A 15038-nucleotide genomic window follows, 5' to 3' on the forward strand; every position below is an offset into this window, starting at 1 on the left:
TGGGGTTCAGATCCTGGCTGGCCTGACCCTAGAGCCAGGCCTTTATCCCTAAAAATGACTGCCTGGCTGGGCATGGTGGCTCATGCCTGTAATCCCAGCGCTTTGGGAGGCCGAGGTGAGCGGATCACCTGAGGTCAGTTCGAGACCAGCCTGGCTAACATGGTGAAACCCCGTCTCTACTAACAATACAAAAAATTAGCCGGGTGTGGTAGCAGGCGCCTGTAATCCCAGCTACTCGGGAGGCTGAGGCAGGAGAATTGCTTGAACCTGGGAGGCGGAGCTTGCAGTGTGCAGCGATCCCGCCACAGCACTCCAGCCTGGGCAACAGAGCGAGACTCCATCTAAAAAAAAAAAAAAAAAAAGGCTCTGCCTGTTACTCTGGGACCCCTATGTTGCCCACGACATGAAAGCAGGAACTAACAAATGCCATGGGTTTTGTGTGTGGCATCTCCTCTGAAAGCCTCCCCTGCTTCTGTAGTCTGGGAAGGCCTCTGTGCTACCCCCACCAGTGCATGGACCATGCTGTTATAACTCCATTTTATTGTCTCCTTATAGAGATTGTAAGTCTCAGGAGGGCAGGGATCATGTTTGGCTTGTTTACTGTATCCCTGATGCCTACCTCAATGCCTGGCACATAAAGGCTCCTCAAAAAATGTTTGTTGAATGAATAAGTGAATGAATGAATGAATGAATGACCTCATATATTCACTTACCCAAAAGCCTGAAGCAGAGTCTCTCCAGGACCCTTTGCTACAGGGAGTGTTCCCAGTGCCCTTAGGGGTAAGACACAGGGTAAGACCAGAACTGCTTATGAGCCCTTTCTTCATCTGTCCCCAGGTGTATGGGGCATCTAACGTGGAGCTCATCACCCGCACACGGACAGAACATCTTTCAGAACAGCACAAGGGCAAGGTCAAAGGTAATGAGGCAGAGCTGGATGGGGAGAGGTGTTGCAGGACTGCGGGAACCAGCTCCCACTTCAGTGCTTCCATCAGTATTCCCACTGGCATCCTAGCAAGAGGCTGGATGCTTTATTCAGGCCGATAGATTTCAATTCAGGTGCCAAGCCCTAAGGATGGGTAGTGGCTGCCTAGAGTACTAAGAAGTTTCTAAGGACTCATCTGGGTTCAGTGGAGAGCCATGCTGCAAGTGATTACTAATGTTGCTGTTGAATTTGGGAGAGGAGAGAAATGCCATGTATGCCATTTATTGGCCATTCTAGTCTAGTGGGACATATCCTAGGTAGAAAGTCAGGGGACCTTGCCACAGATTCTGTATGCCCATTGATGCCACACCTGATTCTCTGGGTACCAGATACCGTGTCCGAGGTGAAAAAGCATAATTTCTACCTCACAGGGGAACAACATGAAATCATGCCTATGGAAGTGCCTGAAGCAAACACACACACGCACATGCACACCCCACAGTGCCTGCCGGGGCAGGCGTTTTACTGTCCAGGGTCACCGAGCTGGAGAGGAGCACTTTTGGAAGTTGCTTCTGACCTCTAGGCCTTCCTTTTAGTGTTTTAAGCTGTGCTCACAGAGGCCCTGGCCCCTGGTCCTTGAAGCACTCAGTCCCCTTCAGGTGAAGGTGCCTGAGTATGTGGTTGGGTGAGCAGGCCCCACCCCAGGAACCGGCCTCCTCCCTAGGTCTTGGGTGCTGTCACCTCTGATGAGGTGCCCAGGTGTGTGTGGAGTTGCGGTGTCCTCTGAGATGCCACATTTCTTGTAGGCTGTAAGACACCTTTGCAGTCCTTCCTGGGAATCGCTGAGCAGCACGGGGGCCCCCAAAATGGGGTGAGTGTGTGCAGGGGTACCCGTAAGTGGAGGGATGTGGATGTGGCTCAGGAGGAGGCTTGGGAAGCGTCCTGCTTAGCATGGCCTATGTGGACCTCCTTTCCACAATGCCCAAGGCCATGTCAGCGCCACACTGGCAGAGGGGACAGCTTGGGGGCCTTGTGACAACAAATGAGTTGGCCTGGCATTAGGAACTGAGGGGAGCTCCTGGGCCCCTCCCCATGTGGTACAGACCCTGATCACTCAGACTCTGAGCCAAGCCAACCCCACTGCCATCACTGCAGAAGAATACTTCAACCCCAACTTTGAGCTGGGCAACCGTGATATGGGCCGCCCCATGGAACTGACCACCAAGACACAGAAGTGAGGCCCCTGCCGGTGCTGGGAAGGTGGGGGGCCGGGGCTCCAGGAGATGCTGGGAGGCCATGGCTTCCTGCAGTGTCCCTTACCCCTTGGGATCTGGTGGGGGCAGGTTCAAGGCCAAGCTGTGGCTGTGTGAGGAGCATCCCCTGTCCCTGTGTGAGCAGGTGGCCCCCATCATTGACCTCATGGCCGTCAGCAATGCGCTTTTTGCCAAGCTCCGGGACTTCATCACCCTGCGTCTGCCTCCTGGCTTCCCAGTTAAGATTGGTGAGACCGCACGGCCATTTCTCCTGAGCCCGTGGCGGGCCGACCGGGGTTTAGATGAGGTCGGGGTGGGGCTGAGGCTGAGGTGTGAGGGGCTGAGTGGTGGCGCCTAAAGGTTTCCTCATCCTCAGAAATCCCGATCTTCCACATCCTCAACGCCCGCATCACCTTCGGGAACCTCAACGGCTGCGACGAACCGGTGCCATCGGTGCGAGGCAGCCCCAGCAGCGAGACGCCTTCCCCAGGCAGCGACTCCTCCAGCGTCAGCAGCTCCAGCTCCACGAGTGAGGCCCCCCGCGAGAACGCCTGCCCCTCGGCTCTCCCCGGGGTGGGTGGGAGGGGCGCGCCCGGCCGTGCCTGACCCAGCCCCCGCGCCCCCAGCCTCCTGCCGCGGCTGCGAGATCTCCCCAGCGTTGTTCGAGGCCCCGCGCGGCTACAGCATGATGGGCGGCCAGCGGGAGGCGGCGACCCGGGACGACGACGACGACCTGCTGCAATTCGCCATCCAGCAGAGCCTGCTTGAGGCGGGCAGTGAGTATGACCAGGTGCGTCTCCGCGGGCGCGCGGGGCCACGGGACTCCGCGCCGCCACGGCTAACGCCCACGCCTCCCCGCAGGTCACCATCTGGGAGGCGCTAACCAACAGCAAGCCAGGCACCCACCCCATGTCCTACGAGGGTCGCCGACAGGACAGGTCAGTGCCCGCTGGGCCGGAGAGAATCCTCCGGAGAGGATCCTGTCTCCCCTAAGCCAGGACACAGCCGGAGAACCCGCGGGGCCCTCGGCAGGGACCCTCCTGGTATCGGGATGGCTTCTGCCACCACTCCTGCCTCCGAGGCGGCAGGCAGGGGTCAGGGATCCAGGCTTCACCGCGGAGTTCAGACTCTCCCCAGGCATTGACGGGGAGAACTTGGTAGGGTCTGGGCTCCGCCACGACCAGGTGGGGGCCAGGACGCCGCGGGACTGACCGCCTCCACTAGAGGGTGGTGGCCGCGGGCCGCCCTGGAGCCTCCACGCCGTGTCCCGGCCCCGGCCGGTGGGTGGGTGCGCCCGGGAGCCCGCGACATTCCTTCCCCACCCCCAGGAGCGCCCCGCCCACGCCGCAGCGCCAGCCTGCGCCCCCGGCGTCAGTGCCCAGCCCTCGGCCCAGCTCAGGGCCAGGTTCCGGCGGCCACGTGTTCCGGAGCTACGACGAGCAGCTGCGGCTGGCGATGGAACTGTCGGCGCAGGAGCAGGAGGAGAGGCGGCGGCGCGCGCGCCAGGAGGAGGAGGAGCTGGAGCGCATCCTGAGGCTCTCACTGACCGAGCAGTAGCGCCCCCTGCCGGGACCCTCGCCAGCGCCACGCGCGCCACGCCCAGGGCCAGGAGCCAGACAAACCCCGGCCTGCGCGCCTGCAGAGCGGCGGCTGGAGACTGGAGCCACCGCCTCGCGGGTGCAGCAGCACAGCAGGCACGGTTCGGGGAGGGATTCGGCATGGCCGCGGGGTACCTTCCCAGGCCAGGGCCCTGGAGGCAACTGGCACGGCCTGGTCCCCCTGCTTTGCTGTATTCTGATTCCCCAACCCGCTCCCCTGGGCTCAGATCTGTCCTGTCCTAGGGCGGAGCCAGGCGGTCCTGAGGGGGAGATGAATCCTTAGAGGAGCGCTGTCCCTATCCCTTGCTCCTTCTGGCCGGTCCGCATTTCTGTTCACTAACCCCACTCCAGGACACTGCCCCTGAAGCCTTTGCATCTCTGCTCTTCACTCCTGGGGGGCAGCTGAGCTCCCCGCGTGCTGTGTCACTGCTTTGTTCCAGACACAAACCAGCACGTCTAGGGCCCAGCCCCTCCCCCACCCCGGCATTTCAGCGTCAAGTGCACTTAGCGGGGTACCCGGCTCCCCCAGCCCCCACACCCGTCCTGGGTCTCAGGGTGGTTCCAGCTTCTCCTTGGGCAGCCAGAAGTTGGAGTCCCATCCCCCAAGGCACATTTTTTTTTTTTTTTTTTTGTGATCAGGGAGTGTGTCCAACGTAGCCCCCTGGCCTGTGCAAGCCCTGACTCCCTCATGGTGCCTCGGAGAGTGGGGAGCATATTGGGCTGGGGTAAGCACTAGACCCAAGTAGACTGGACACAAAGGGCTCGCCCAGGGCCCTGGCGCCACCCCCACCCCTTCCCACCAGCTGCTGCTAGCCTCTGTGGTTGTACATCCCACTTGCCCCCACACGGAGACTGACTCTAAAACCCTTCATCCAATGGTGCTAACCCCCGGCTCTCCCCTGCCCCACCTCACCCACCCAGAGAAGCACAGACCCCGCCAGGGGCAGGGGCCCACCGCACACCCTTGTCCCGGGCCTGTCTGGGACTGGCCTTCCCGGCTCAGCCAGTGAGGCTCAGAAGGGACACAAAGAGGGATGGAAGAAAAGAACAAAGAGAAACTGTTCCTCCCACCCCCTTCCCTGATGCCAGGGGCACCAGACTGATTCTGAGGCACAAATAAAAGAGGCTTCATACCGGAGGCTTTTGCTACCTAACTTTACTTGGGGGGAACGCCTACGGTGTGGGTTGGGGTCCTTCTGAACCTCAGAGTGGAGAGAGCTCTAGGGTAAGAGGCTGCCTGATGGACCCTGAGCCCAGGAGTGCATCGCCAGGTCTCCCAGGAGCCTGGGGGTAGCATTTGCAGAGGCTGGGGGTCTCGTTCCCCTCACTCCCACCCATGCAGGAGGCACAGACTGAACGCTTAGTAAAATATTTCATTCAGTACGTCTTGTTTTTCTGAGAGAGGCAACGGCAGAGGGTTGGGGGCAGTGTGTGTGTATTTGTGATGAACCTAACTCCTCATGCCAGTTCTCTCGAGATTTCTTCGCGGGGGCTGCCGCGAGGAAGCAGCCCTCGCCCCTGTCGGTGGAAAGAAGGAAGAGAGTTCTCTACCACAGACCGCTGTGGGTGTAGCCACTGGGTCCGGCTCTGCAGCAAACGGGTTGTGTATGTGTCTGCAGAACTGGGGTGACGCCCATCTGGTTTACCGCTCAGGGTGATGGAATCCAGTGAGCTGATTAGGAGAAGCGCTGTCATTTTCCCCAGCCTGGGGGTACCCATCAAATCGCCACCCGTTTGAGGTCAAGCTCAGGCTCCAATAACCCCAAGCATCACGCTAATACTAAGCACTTTCCCTGCCCTGGGCGGAGGACAAAGGGGGACACCACCTCGCCGTGCAGCACCATTGCTGAGCCCCCCAGGTTACCCCAGGCCTCCCTAGGCCAGCTCCAGCCGAGTCCCAGACGAGGCTCGCAGTCCAGCCTCCGCTGGAGCGACGTGGGTCTCCCCTAAGCTCCAAGAGTTCTGGTCTCCCGCGAGGGGCGGAGTTCCCTCCCCAGTCCCGCCCCCGGGCCCAGCCCAAGAAGGCGGGGTCCGGAGTTCGGGACTAAAAGCCGGGGCGGGGCCGAGCTTGTGCGCCCCGCCCCGCTCCGCCTGCCTGGCGCGCGGGGCTAGTCCGTGCCGTCCACCAGCTCGCACAGCATGTTCTCCAGAGCCGTGATGCGCTGCTCCTGGGCCTGCACCCGCTCGCGGAGGGCCTTGATCTCTTCCAGCAGCGTCTCCAGGGTGTGCTGCTGCTGGGGCGGAGGACAGAGAGGCCGTGTCGTATAGGGGCGGTTGGGGGAGATGTAGATTGGGCCAGAGTGCAGCAGGGCCGATCTTACCGACAAGGGGGCGTCGCTGGCCGACTGGCTGCGGCGGGGGCCGGAGGGCGGGCGCACGTCCAGGATGTTGCGCTTCGTGACCCGGAGCTCGCGGTGCTTGGGGGGCACATAGCCGTCCCTCAGCGAAATGAGCACGGGTTCGGCGTCCTGGCCGGATAGCCATTCGTCCGCTTCTAGGGCCGGCTCCGGGCCTGGCGTATCCGGGTACAGATCGTCCTGGAAGAGGTCTGACTGCGGGGGTGGGTGGACAGGAGGACTTGCGTGAGAGGGTGCGGGGCTTGCTCCGCTCCCTTCCGCCTCGTAGCCCTGCCCAACCCTTCTCCCGGCCCCTCACCTTGCGGGGCACAGTCATGATGATAGGTTCACACTTTCTTTCGTGTAGCTTGTAGAACCTATAAGGGAGCAGGGTTCAGCACCCTCGCAGACTTCCACGTCCTTAACTTCTCCTGTCTAAGACCAAGGGGGTTGGAGGCCAACACTTGCTCAGCGCCTACCATGCATATTGCACATTACACACATTATTGGTTCTGCAATAAAACACCCTGATGGTGTGTTCACCATCATCTTATAGATGAGGAAACTGAAGTTGAGAATGTAAGGCTAGTGAGCGGTGGGTCTGGCACTGAAACAGAGCTGTCTTATCCCCCCGCCCCGCTTTTCCAAAGCACTGCATTACTGGGGAAGCCCCGTGGCTAGGACCCGACATGAGTGGGGGACAGAGGCGGGTAGGTGTTCAGGAGGGGCCAAGGCTGCTGACCGGGCGATCTCACACTTGCTGACATCCAGTCCCCTTTTGGGCATGAAACCCATGCCCCGCTGCGGCTCTTTGCTGCTGAACGTGTTCAGGTAGTGCACGAAAGGCGGCTCGTCGGTAATCTCAAAGTACCGAATGCTGCTGTCGCCCTGCAAAATCAGTCGGTTCAGGGGCGCGCCCGGACAAGGCCCTCCACATCTCCATCCAGTGCCCTGTTCTCCCTGCCCGGCCGTGAGCACCTTGCCACACAGGTAGACGATGCTGGAGTCGGGATCGTAAAAGGGCAATAGGACCCCGTTGCTTGTGTCCATCTCCTGCAGTGCCACTGGCTCCTCGAAGTTGTTCTGCCCGAGCACAGGAGGCGTGACCAGCCCTGCCCCACCCTCCCGTGCTACTTCGGGACCCCCAGAAGCCCCTTTACGCTTCCTGGCCTTCCCAAACCCTATGCCCCAAACCTCTAGTGACCAGAGTTGCAGGCCCCTCCCCTGGGCACATCTCTCCTCCTCCCCTGCGCACATAGCTCCTCCTCCCCTGCACATATACCCGCTGCGCGCCGCATGCAGTCACAGCAAACCACCCCCAGGGACTCGGCATCACCAGGTGGGGGCGCCAGCGCAGGATCCTTCACGCGACGCAGCAAAACTGGGCAGAGGGGTGGGTGTGAGAATGGCAGGCGCTGCAGAGGTGGCAGCAGCCTTCAGTCCTGTCCAGGTGGGCATGCCCTGCGGGTGGGGGGCGCCTGGCCACTCTCCCGTGATGCCAGTCCCCGAGGCACACACCCCAAGCCTCCAGCTGCGTTACCGGGTCCCACAGGCCCAGCTCTCGCTGGCTCATGCGGGTGAAGCCCGTGGTGAAGATATGGCCCTGGCGCGTGAAGACGGCCCGCATGGGCCTCATCCCCTCGTGGGCCGCAAACCTCTCCTGGGGGGAGGGGGAGACAGGGAGGGACATCACCCAGCTGCCTGCCCTGAGGAGCATGGAGGGATGAGCAACCAGCTTGCTGACTTGGGTGTCCGGGGTGGAGGAGCGGATGCGGGGAAGAGACAAATGGGGCCTAAGCACTCAGCTTCCTGCGGGGCCACGTCTGGCCCCTGACCTGGAGAGCATCCGGGCCTGGAGAGAGCAGGAGGCACGCGGCTCTCAGCCGATCCCGAACCCTTAAGCGCGCTCAAAGGCCGATCCCTAGAGCAGGGGTGTCTGCTGGCTCCCCGGAGTCGCAGCGAGGCTTTTCCCGAATGGGAGCTCCCCGCTCCGCTCTGGCCTCTTGGGCGCCAGCCACAGCCCGGGAAGGCGCTCCCGGCAGACCCAGAGAAGGAGCGAGCTAGCGCGCCCGGCGCGGCCTGGCCTACCGGGTCCCAGAGCGCGAGTTGCCGCTCACTCATCCTGCTGAAGCCGGTGCTGAGCAGCTTCCCGTCTGCGGTGAAGACAGCCCGCAGCGGGCGGGCGCCCTCGTGAGGCCGGGCTTGCTCCTGCTCGCCGGGTTAGTGGGTTAGAGCGCCCCGGCGCCAGCCCCGACCGCTCTCGGCGCGCTTGCTCCACGCAGACATGCACGCGGCCCACGCACCCGCACCCCAGGTTAGACTTGAGGCTGGCGAGGCCAGGGCCGCCGCCCTCCCAGGGCATCCGGCTGGGATAAGCAACGCGCGAGGGTTGCCCCATCCCCCGCCCAGCGGGTCCACAAGGAGAAAGGGCCAGCCCTCGAGCCAGTGTCAGGCCCCAGACCCTGGAAGATGCGTCTGGGTGCCGGCTGAGAGGAGAGGGGTCCAGGAGCTCAGGTTTCATGCAGGTTCTGGTGGGAGGATGGAGTTTCCAGCTTCTCCCCTCCTCAATCCCAAAGCGAGGAGCCCTTCTCTGAGCTTCTGAGATGCAAGGGAGGGGAGGGAACAGGAGCCGGGCAGAGAATTGCAGGCTGGGGGCTTACTTAGGGCAGAGACCTGTGGTTGCAGAGACGGGGGAAGGGGGCTAGTCTCTGGAGCAGGGATGCGACAGGTGAAAGCCGGGACCAGGGGCTCTGATAATGGTGGGTACAAGGGTGCTGACAGCTGGCCACTGGTCAAGGGGTTCTGGGGAGTGGCCAGGCCAGGCACTCACCGCCACCACTTGGCCTTTTCTGGGGTCAATGATGCGCAAGGTCTTGTCCTTGCAGGTGGTGGCTAGCAGGCTACCGTTGCTGTTCCAGCACACACTGTGGATGACGTCTGGGTGCATATCATCCAGGCTCAGCAGCACCTCCCCGGTGCCCACATTCCAGATGATGATCACATTGTCACCACCTGCCCAGAGTGGCCAGGCATGGTCACCTGGGTCCCACCTTTGCCACCACCCACCCATCTATGGGGGACCCCTCCTTAGCCCCCAGACCTGCACTGAGCAGGACATTCCTGGCAGTAGGGTGCCAGGAGAGGATGCCCACACGCTTGGAGTGGCCCTCAAGTGTGATGATAGGTTCCGTAATGTTGCGCATGGGGGTATAGTCTGGAATCTGCCACACCTGGGTAGGAAGAAAAGGTATATGGTGGGTGGAATGAGGAGCCACCCTGTCCCTCCACTCCTTCCCTACCTTTTTTTTTAACCCTACTGGCTCTCTTGAGTGGTAAGGGTCAAATACAGGGCAAGATGTGGTGGTGCATGCCTAGAACAGAAGCAGCTGGGAGCCAGGAGGGGGCACTGCCAGCTCTCCAGAGACCTCCCATTCACTCCAGCAGGGAGACTTCAGAGCACTGCCCTGCTGCTCTCCAGGCACCAAGTTGGCCATGGCTATAATTAGTCCTAAGCAGTGCATCCTGGGAGGGGGTGGGCATGTAGCTAAAAATAGTCCAGGAGCTGGGCAGGGCAGGGCCCTGGGACCCAGCACCTCCCTTATTACCACCCTTAGCACCTTCCCCAGCACAGGTGAGGCAGCCTTCCCTGCTCCCCTGCTCAACTGCCCAGCAGTAGCCACCTGGCTCCTACCATGATGGTGGTGTCGTCTGAGGCACTGGCGATAACGTTGTCATTGTGTGGACACCAGTCAATATCCAGCACAGGGGCAGTGTGCCCAGTGACCAGTGGGTAGTTCTTATCCACTCGCCCTGTCTGAGGGGTTGGAGAAGAAGATGTGGGGCTACTCTCCTGTGTGTTTTTTGGGGAGTGGGTAGCAGATCTGCTTACATCTCGATTCCTTATTACCTATTTTCTCTTTGCAGATCCCTCTCTGCACTTCTAACCCCATCCAGTCCACTTCCTGCACTTTACTGAAGGCAGAGTTGAAATAATTTAATATTAGGGACTGTGACACAGAGAGGTAAGATGGCCTCATCAAGGACACACAACAAGATACTTGTAGAGCTGAGATTTGAACTTTCCAGCCCAGTGCTCTTCCAAAGACACCTACTTGGAGGAGGCTGTTCTTCAGCCTGTTCTCCTATTGAAGTGTCTGTGGGAATCTCCTGGTGGAAGAGGTCAAGGTGAGATAATAGTGTAGTGCTGGACAGCCCTTTCCTGGCCTCCCTTGGCAGATCTCTTCCTTGTGAACCACTTTTACCTTGGAACCACAAGCAGCAAGCAGTCCTGGTGCCTACTATCCCCAAATGGGAGCTGGGGGCCCATCTATTTTTTGGTCTTCACAGGCTGCTTGTGGGGGTTCTGAGACCTCTGCAGGGGCAGACACTGGTCCAGACCAGGCAGCGGGGGAGAGGGTGGCTATGTGGTACTGAAAGAGCAGACATATTGGGGGAGGAGGCAGCTCCGGCTGAAATTTGAGCCCTGGGGCTGTGTCCCAGGATGATGTCTGCATTGTCTGGGGTGAGTCACTGGCTTTTTCAGGCCTCTTCCTGACCCCGCCACCTGTGGAGCCTACCCTAACAAGGTGTAGGGGCCAGAATCCAGGTCAAGGTCATACCTTGGGGGTTGGGGGAGAGTCATCCTTGGGATGTGGATGGTCAAGGGGCTTAAGGTTATGAAGCTAACGTGGTAGTCATTGCCTGGTCCCCATCCTGAGGGTAGGGAGGGCTCTGGCTTTATGTGTCATGTCCCCCTTCCTTTCCGTTCCCTTTCTTTCTACTTCACTGCAAGTGTCCTTGGAGGTAACCAGGGACTCTTTGGATAGAGCCTGACCCTGTCCTCAGTTTGCTGCTCTGGGATGTGACTTAATCAAATGGTCATCTTGGGCTAGGGAGGAGGTTCTCCACACCCAAAACATGAGGGGATGCGGCATTAGGAGAGGCAGTGATGGAATCTGGCCAGGCTTGGCTGTGCTGTGTCCCAACCATCTCCATCACCCGGCTCCCCTCCTGGTCCCTGCTGGGAATGGGGTGGTGCATGGAGAGGTGGGAGGGCTAGGGAGTGGGAGTAAGCCACCCTGATGTTAGGGTGGGGTGGGGTGGCCTCCCCTCTGGTCCTTGAGGGCTTGGGGAATAGGGAGGAGCCAATCCACACAGATGCTTCTCCTGACTATGGAATGGAACTAGGTGAGAACAAAGGCTCAGGAGTTCCCAGGGGCCCCAGCTAGTGTCCTCCCACTTGCTTCCTTTCCCTGATCCCTCACCTTGGCCAGAGGCAGGACGATGAAGGCACCCCCGCCTCCAGCCTCCACAATAATGGCCAGGAATTTGGGGTTGACGGCACAGAAGGAGCTGTCCCATGTGACCTTGGACACACGGATGTCCTCGTAGGCCTGGTCGGCCTTTGCTGCCTGCCCAAACACATGGCGGAACTTGCTTTGCCGAACCACACGTCTGCTCATAGCTGCAGGCAGAGAGGTAGGATCTCAGTGCCCAGAAATGCCTTTGGTCCTTAGTCCTGTGAGCTGCGGGAGGGAGGAGGAGTGGAGGGGTGGCTGATGAGAAGGGTTATGTGGTCAGGAGTCAGGTATAAATCCATATAGTGTCTGGTCCTAGAAGCAGGGAGCTTTCTTCAAGGTGGTCAAAGTATGGGAAAGTTATTTTGCTGTGTAAAATGCTGTTTAATGTAAGTGGCTAGGATTTGGGGCCTGAATTCTCCACAGAGACCCAGGCTGAGGGGATTGTGGAGCCTAACAGACTGAAAGCTTTCTGGACGTTGGAATGTTTTTGGGAGGAGCCTCAATGCCACACTGCCTGCACCCCCCGCCCCCACCACCGCCAGCCTTGATGAGCATCTCTTCACGGACGTGGTTGTAGCTCCCAGAGGCACCCTGTCCAGAAGCAGAAGACTTGACCATTGGATCTTGGCTTAAAGCCAGGTATGGGGCCAAGACTGCAGCCACCACAGGATACCGAACTCGCATCTCTGGAATAGTTCAGGCAGATGGGGTTTTGCCTTTTCCTAAAATTTTGCCAAGGGGGAAGTTCCTCCTGTCCACCAATCTGAGTCCTTTCTGCTACTGTTTTCATCCCATGCCTTGTGGGGGGACGGGTGGCAGCACAGAGTGAGGTGGATCCCTCTTCTCCCACTCCTTTCTGCACTGGCTTCTCCAGGAAGCCCTGATCATGGTCTTCTGGCTTTTGCCTACCATAGGCTTGTCCGGTTTCTCCTCTGGGTCCTCTGCCCTGGTTGGGCCTTCTTCCTAGTGAACTCTTCTAGGGGTGGGGTCTTCAACCCCATCCTCCACCCCTGCCCCCGCCACGGCCAAGCCAGATTTGCAGGGGTGGGGAGGGTGAGGTGCCTTTTCTCCAGCTAGGGTCTCCCTAGAGGACACACTGAGCACTCCCAAAGCCCCAGCCAGTGGCTCCTGCCCCACCCCAGCCCCAGCATCCGTGTGCCCTTCAAGGCGCGTCTGCGGCCCCGAGCCTGAGGCCCGGCCTCCCTGCACCCTTCTTCAGCCTGCTGCCCTGACACTGCGTTCTTGCGAGACGAGGTGTCTGCGCCCTCCGGGAGCGCTGGCTGCTGTCCGGCCAAATATAGACACCACGTCCTCCCCGCCCGAAACCGAATTTGGCGGCGCGGGGGGAGGAGGCGCAGACCTCTGCCCCTCAGGGACCCCGCCCGCTCCGCTGGCTGCGGTGACGGCCGGGTGTGGGGGGCTGGGTACCTGGTCCTGAGCGGGCTGCGGGGCGCTCACGCTGCGAATCCTCTGCGGAAGGGGCCCGAGTGCGTAGGGGGCCGAGGAAGGCTTCAGGGCGAAGGAGCCACCTCTCCGGGTGTCTGTAGTATCTGGGACCCGGGTGTCCAGCTCCGCACTCTGGCCGATCCTGCGGCTCTCTAGAGCCCGGCGCCGCTGCAGCCCCAGCTGCCGCTGCCATCAACCTAAGAGGGCGGGGCTAGCATAGGGGCGGGGCCAGAGCCCAAGTTGCCCCGCCCCCTCCAGCGGCGGGAAAGTCGAGCGACCCCGACTCCCCTCCCAGCTTCCGCCGGCCTCGGAGAACCATCGAAAATAAATGTGCAGCTGTGTGCTAGGTGCGCACGCTGCTTCCCTCCCTCCATGACTCCCGGGTAGGCTGGGGAGGCTCGGGTTCGCAGACCTAGAGCAGGACGCTTGGAGAGGGAACGGGCGAGGGGGCGTGCGCCCCTAGAGCGGGCAGCCGAGGGAGACCAGGTGCCTCCACCCGCATTCCAGCCTCAATCGCGCTCCCAATTTAGCTGTCCCGATCGGCCGGGACTGCGGGACTGCACTTCCAGGCCTCCCTGGGGGAAAGAGGCCCTAGAGAATGAGGACCCAGGCTGATCCTGATGTAGGGCAAGTGAGAGGGCACCCGACACAGGGTTGTGAATGTTAGTTATTGTTATGAATGGCAATAGCGATCATTTGAGAAACCTAAAATGCTGGCTGTGTGCTAGGCATTTCACCCCATTAGATGAGATTCCATGGAGCAGGGCAGGAAGCAGCTGAAAGAACAAGGGGAGGACCGAGTGTAAAGTGAACCCACCTTGACACTCCCTCCCCTCCCAGATGCAGGGGGAAGAGGCTAGCACCGGTCTCTAGTCACATTTTAGGGGTCAGAGAAGCCAACTCAGAGGCCAGACTCCTAATGTTTTCTGGGCCTTGTTTGAATTGGCGCCCGACTGTGTTCCAGGTAAGCTTCCCCCGTCTCCCCCAATATTCACAGAACTGAATGTTGACCGAGGTCAAGGAGATTAAAGATAACCTGATCAAAATACAGCCAGTGAAGACCAGCCAGTCCCGTAGCTCCAGTCTACCCAGTGTCTGCACATTGCCTGGATTTCTTCCCTTGGATCATAAGGGCATCTGGGGCCAGTTATTACTTCCCACCCTCCAGGGCACACCTGGGAGTGAGTGAATGGAACACAGCCTTCTGAAGGGCAGGAACCAGCACTGGGGAGGAAAGGGAGGGAAGGTGGTAGAAACCATGAAGGGCCCACGAGGCTCCTTTGTTTCTCAGGAAGAGTCCAGGTGGCTTGTAGGGACAGAATCAAATCAAGAGTCAGTGGCTTGTAGGGGAACAGAATAAAAAACTGTTACGAGTGCTCCAGAAATAACTCCTGGCGTAGGGGTGCTGGGGCAGGGTATGAGGGTATGTGAGTCATCTCTCTTTTACCTAAAGATTCCAGGCACATGATTAGGAGGAAAATACCTGAGTGACTCAGTTGCTCCTTTACAACAATAACCCATGCTTATGTGCTAGGCACTGGCACTAAGGGCTTTATACGTATTAATTTCATACTCTTAACAATCCTCTAGGCTGGTCGCGGGTGGCTAACGCCTGTAATCCCAGCACTTTGGGAGGCTGAGGCAGGTGGATCACCTGAGGTCAGGAGTTCGAGACCAGCCTGGCCAACATGGCAAAACCCCATCTCTACTAAAAATACAAAAATTTGCCAGGTGTGGTGATGCACACCTGTAATCCCAGCTACTCAGGAGGCTGAGACACGAGAATTGCTTGAACCTAGGAGGCAGAGGTTGCAGTGAGCTGAGATCATGCCACTGCCCTCCAGCCTGGGTGACAGAATGAGACTCTGTCTCAAATAAAACACACGCACAAAAAACCAAAAAACAATCCTCTAAGGTGGGTACTGTTGTTATCCCTATTTAACAGTTGAGGAAATGGAGCCACAAAGAGGTTAGGTGGCTTACCCATCACAACCTCAACTGGTAGTTGATGTAGCTATGATTCTTACCCACGTGGTCTGGCATCTGGTTCTTGCTTTTCAGCAGCATGCATTTCTGTCTCTCCCTGAAGGACAGTGCCACTTTATCTCACAAGTGCTGAGCTAAAACGTAACTGAGAGTTTATACTGTGTGGCACAGAGGAAAGGATGCCTGGAATGAAT

General features: G+C 59.4%; 2 protein-coding genes across 30 annotated transcripts in view, besides 12 other annotated features; one reads left to right on the forward strand and one right to left on the reverse strand.

The window, feature by feature from the left end:
* ANKRD13B (ankyrin repeat domain 13B) overlaps positions 1-4914 on the forward strand; it is a 21630-nt gene extending 16716 nt beyond the window's left edge. For 4 of the 11 annotated variants that reach the window (XM_005257920.6, XM_017024175.3, XM_011524319.4 and 1 more), the window contains exons 8-15: positions 838-919; positions 1732-1796; positions 2029-2159; positions 2236-2426; positions 2555-2707; positions 2805-2968; positions 3040-3116; positions 3507-4914. In XM_005257920.6, the coding sequence (XP_005257977.2) occupies positions 838-919; positions 1732-1796; positions 2029-2159; positions 2236-2426; positions 2555-2707; positions 2805-2968; positions 3040-3116; positions 3507-3735 (1092 nt within the window). In that variant the 3' untranslated portion in view covers positions 3736-4914. Of the gene's footprint in view, positions 1-837; positions 920-1731; positions 1797-2028; positions 2160-2235; positions 2427-2554; positions 2708-2804; positions 2969-3039 lie in introns of those variants that run through there. The other 7 variants (NM_152345.5, XM_047435325.1, XM_047435326.1 and 4 more) reach the window with 6 other exon arrangements.
* Positions 3390-3619: a silencer, noted in NCBI's record as "silent region_8380". NCBI's record gives its function as "represses an Ori minimal core promoter by ATAC-STARR-seq in GM12878 lymphoblastoid cells {active_cell/tissue: GM12878}" and the evidence as "EXISTENCE:reporter gene assay evidence [ECO:0000049][PMID:35858748]".
* Positions 3390-4427: a biological region, named in NCBI's record as "H3K4me1 hESC enhancer GRCh37_chr17:27940429-27941292".
* Positions 3564-4427: an enhancer, noted in NCBI's record as "H3K4me1 hESC enhancer chr17:27940429-27941292 (GRCh37/hg19 assembly coordinates)". NCBI's record gives its function as "activates a minimal SCP1, AML or CMV promoter by ChIP-STARR-seq in naive H9 embryonic stem cells {active_cell/tissue: H9 hESC(naive)}" and the evidence as "EXISTENCE:reporter gene assay evidence [ECO:0000049][PMID:30033119]".
* Positions 3780-3889: a silencer, noted in NCBI's record as "silent region_8381". NCBI's record gives its function as "represses an Ori minimal core promoter by ATAC-STARR-seq in GM12878 lymphoblastoid cells {active_cell/tissue: GM12878}" and the evidence as "EXISTENCE:reporter gene assay evidence [ECO:0000049][PMID:35858748]".
* On the reverse strand, positions 4915-13065 carry CORO6 (coronin 6). 19 transcript variants are annotated; one of them, NR_170977.1, is made up of 12 exons: positions 12841-13065; positions 11377-11576; positions 9804-9926; positions 9213-9342; positions 8943-9124; positions 7653-7772; positions 7395-7493; positions 7091-7195; positions 6855-7000; positions 6432-6489; positions 6098-6328; positions 4915-6007 (listed from the first exon to the last, which is right to left on the reverse strand). NR_170977.1 is itself a non-coding variant. In NM_001388433.1 (11 exons), exons 2-11 carry the CDS (start codon positions 11572-11574, stop codon positions 5885-5887), a joined length of 1416 nt encoding a protein of 471 aa, NP_001375362.1. In that variant the 5' UTR covers positions 11575-11576; positions 12841-13065; the 3' UTR covers positions 4915-5884. The 19 variants fall into 19 exon arrangements, 17 of the variants coding, with proteins under 17 accessions (NP_001375362.1, NP_001375360.1, NP_001375363.1 ...); NM_001388433.1 differs by lacking the exon at positions 7395-7493; NM_001388431.1 differs by lacking the exon at positions 7395-7493 and having other exon boundaries at positions 4915-6010.
* Positions 5218-5287: a silencer, noted in NCBI's record as "silent region_8382". NCBI's record gives its function as "represses an Ori minimal core promoter by ATAC-STARR-seq in GM12878 lymphoblastoid cells {active_cell/tissue: GM12878}" and the evidence as "EXISTENCE:reporter gene assay evidence [ECO:0000049][PMID:35858748]".
* Positions 5293-6156: an enhancer, noted in NCBI's record as "H3K4me1 hESC enhancer chr17:27942158-27943021 (GRCh37/hg19 assembly coordinates)". NCBI's record gives its function as "activates a minimal SCP1, AML or CMV promoter by ChIP-STARR-seq in naive H9 embryonic stem cells {active_cell/tissue: H9 hESC(naive)}" and the evidence as "EXISTENCE:reporter gene assay evidence [ECO:0000049][PMID:30033119]".
* Positions 5735-5948: a silencer, noted in NCBI's record as "fragment chr17:27942600-27942813 (GRCh37/hg19 assembly coordinates)". NCBI's record gives its function as "represses an EF-1alpha promoter that drives an FKBP-Casp9 reporter gene in an ReSE screen in K562 erythroleukemia cells {active_cell/tissue: K562}" and the evidence as "EXISTENCE:reporter gene assay evidence [ECO:0000049][PMID:32094911]".
* Positions 5828-5877: a silencer, noted in NCBI's record as "silent region_8383". NCBI's record gives its function as "represses an Ori minimal core promoter by ATAC-STARR-seq in GM12878 lymphoblastoid cells {active_cell/tissue: GM12878}" and the evidence as "EXISTENCE:reporter gene assay evidence [ECO:0000049][PMID:35858748]".
* Positions 9417-9486: a silencer, noted in NCBI's record as "silent region_8384". NCBI's record gives its function as "represses an Ori minimal core promoter by ATAC-STARR-seq in GM12878 lymphoblastoid cells {active_cell/tissue: GM12878}" and the evidence as "EXISTENCE:reporter gene assay evidence [ECO:0000049][PMID:35858748]".
* Positions 10464-10758: an enhancer, noted in NCBI's record as "tiled region #12866; HepG2 Activating non-DNase unmatched - State 20:ReprD, and K562 Activating DNase matched - State 8:EnhW". NCBI's record gives its function as "activates a minimal TATA promoter and a strong SV40 promoter by Sharpr-MPRA in HepG2 and K562 cells {active_cell/tissue: HepG2 | K562}" and the evidence as "EXISTENCE:reporter gene assay evidence [ECO:0000049][PMID:27701403]".
* Positions 12729-12878: a silencer, noted in NCBI's record as "silent region_8385". NCBI's record gives its function as "represses an Ori minimal core promoter by ATAC-STARR-seq in GM12878 lymphoblastoid cells {active_cell/tissue: GM12878}" and the evidence as "EXISTENCE:reporter gene assay evidence [ECO:0000049][PMID:35858748]".
* Positions 13666-14865: an enhancer, noted in NCBI's record as "P300/CBP strongly-dependent group 1 enhancer chr17:27950531-27951730 (GRCh37/hg19 assembly coordinates)". NCBI's record gives its function as "activates an origin of replication core promoter dependent on BRD2, BRD4, P300/CBP, MED14 and CDK7 cofactors, with strong dependence on P300/CBP, by STARR-seq in HCT116 cells {active_cell/tissue: HCT116}" and the evidence as "EXISTENCE:reporter gene assay evidence [ECO:0000049][PMID:35650434]".

Source organism: Homo sapiens, chromosome 17 (genome assembly GCF_000001405.40).
Source record: "Homo sapiens chromosome 17, GRCh38.p14 Primary Assembly".
NCBI lineage: Eukaryota > Metazoa > Chordata > Mammalia > Primates > Hominidae > Homo > Homo sapiens.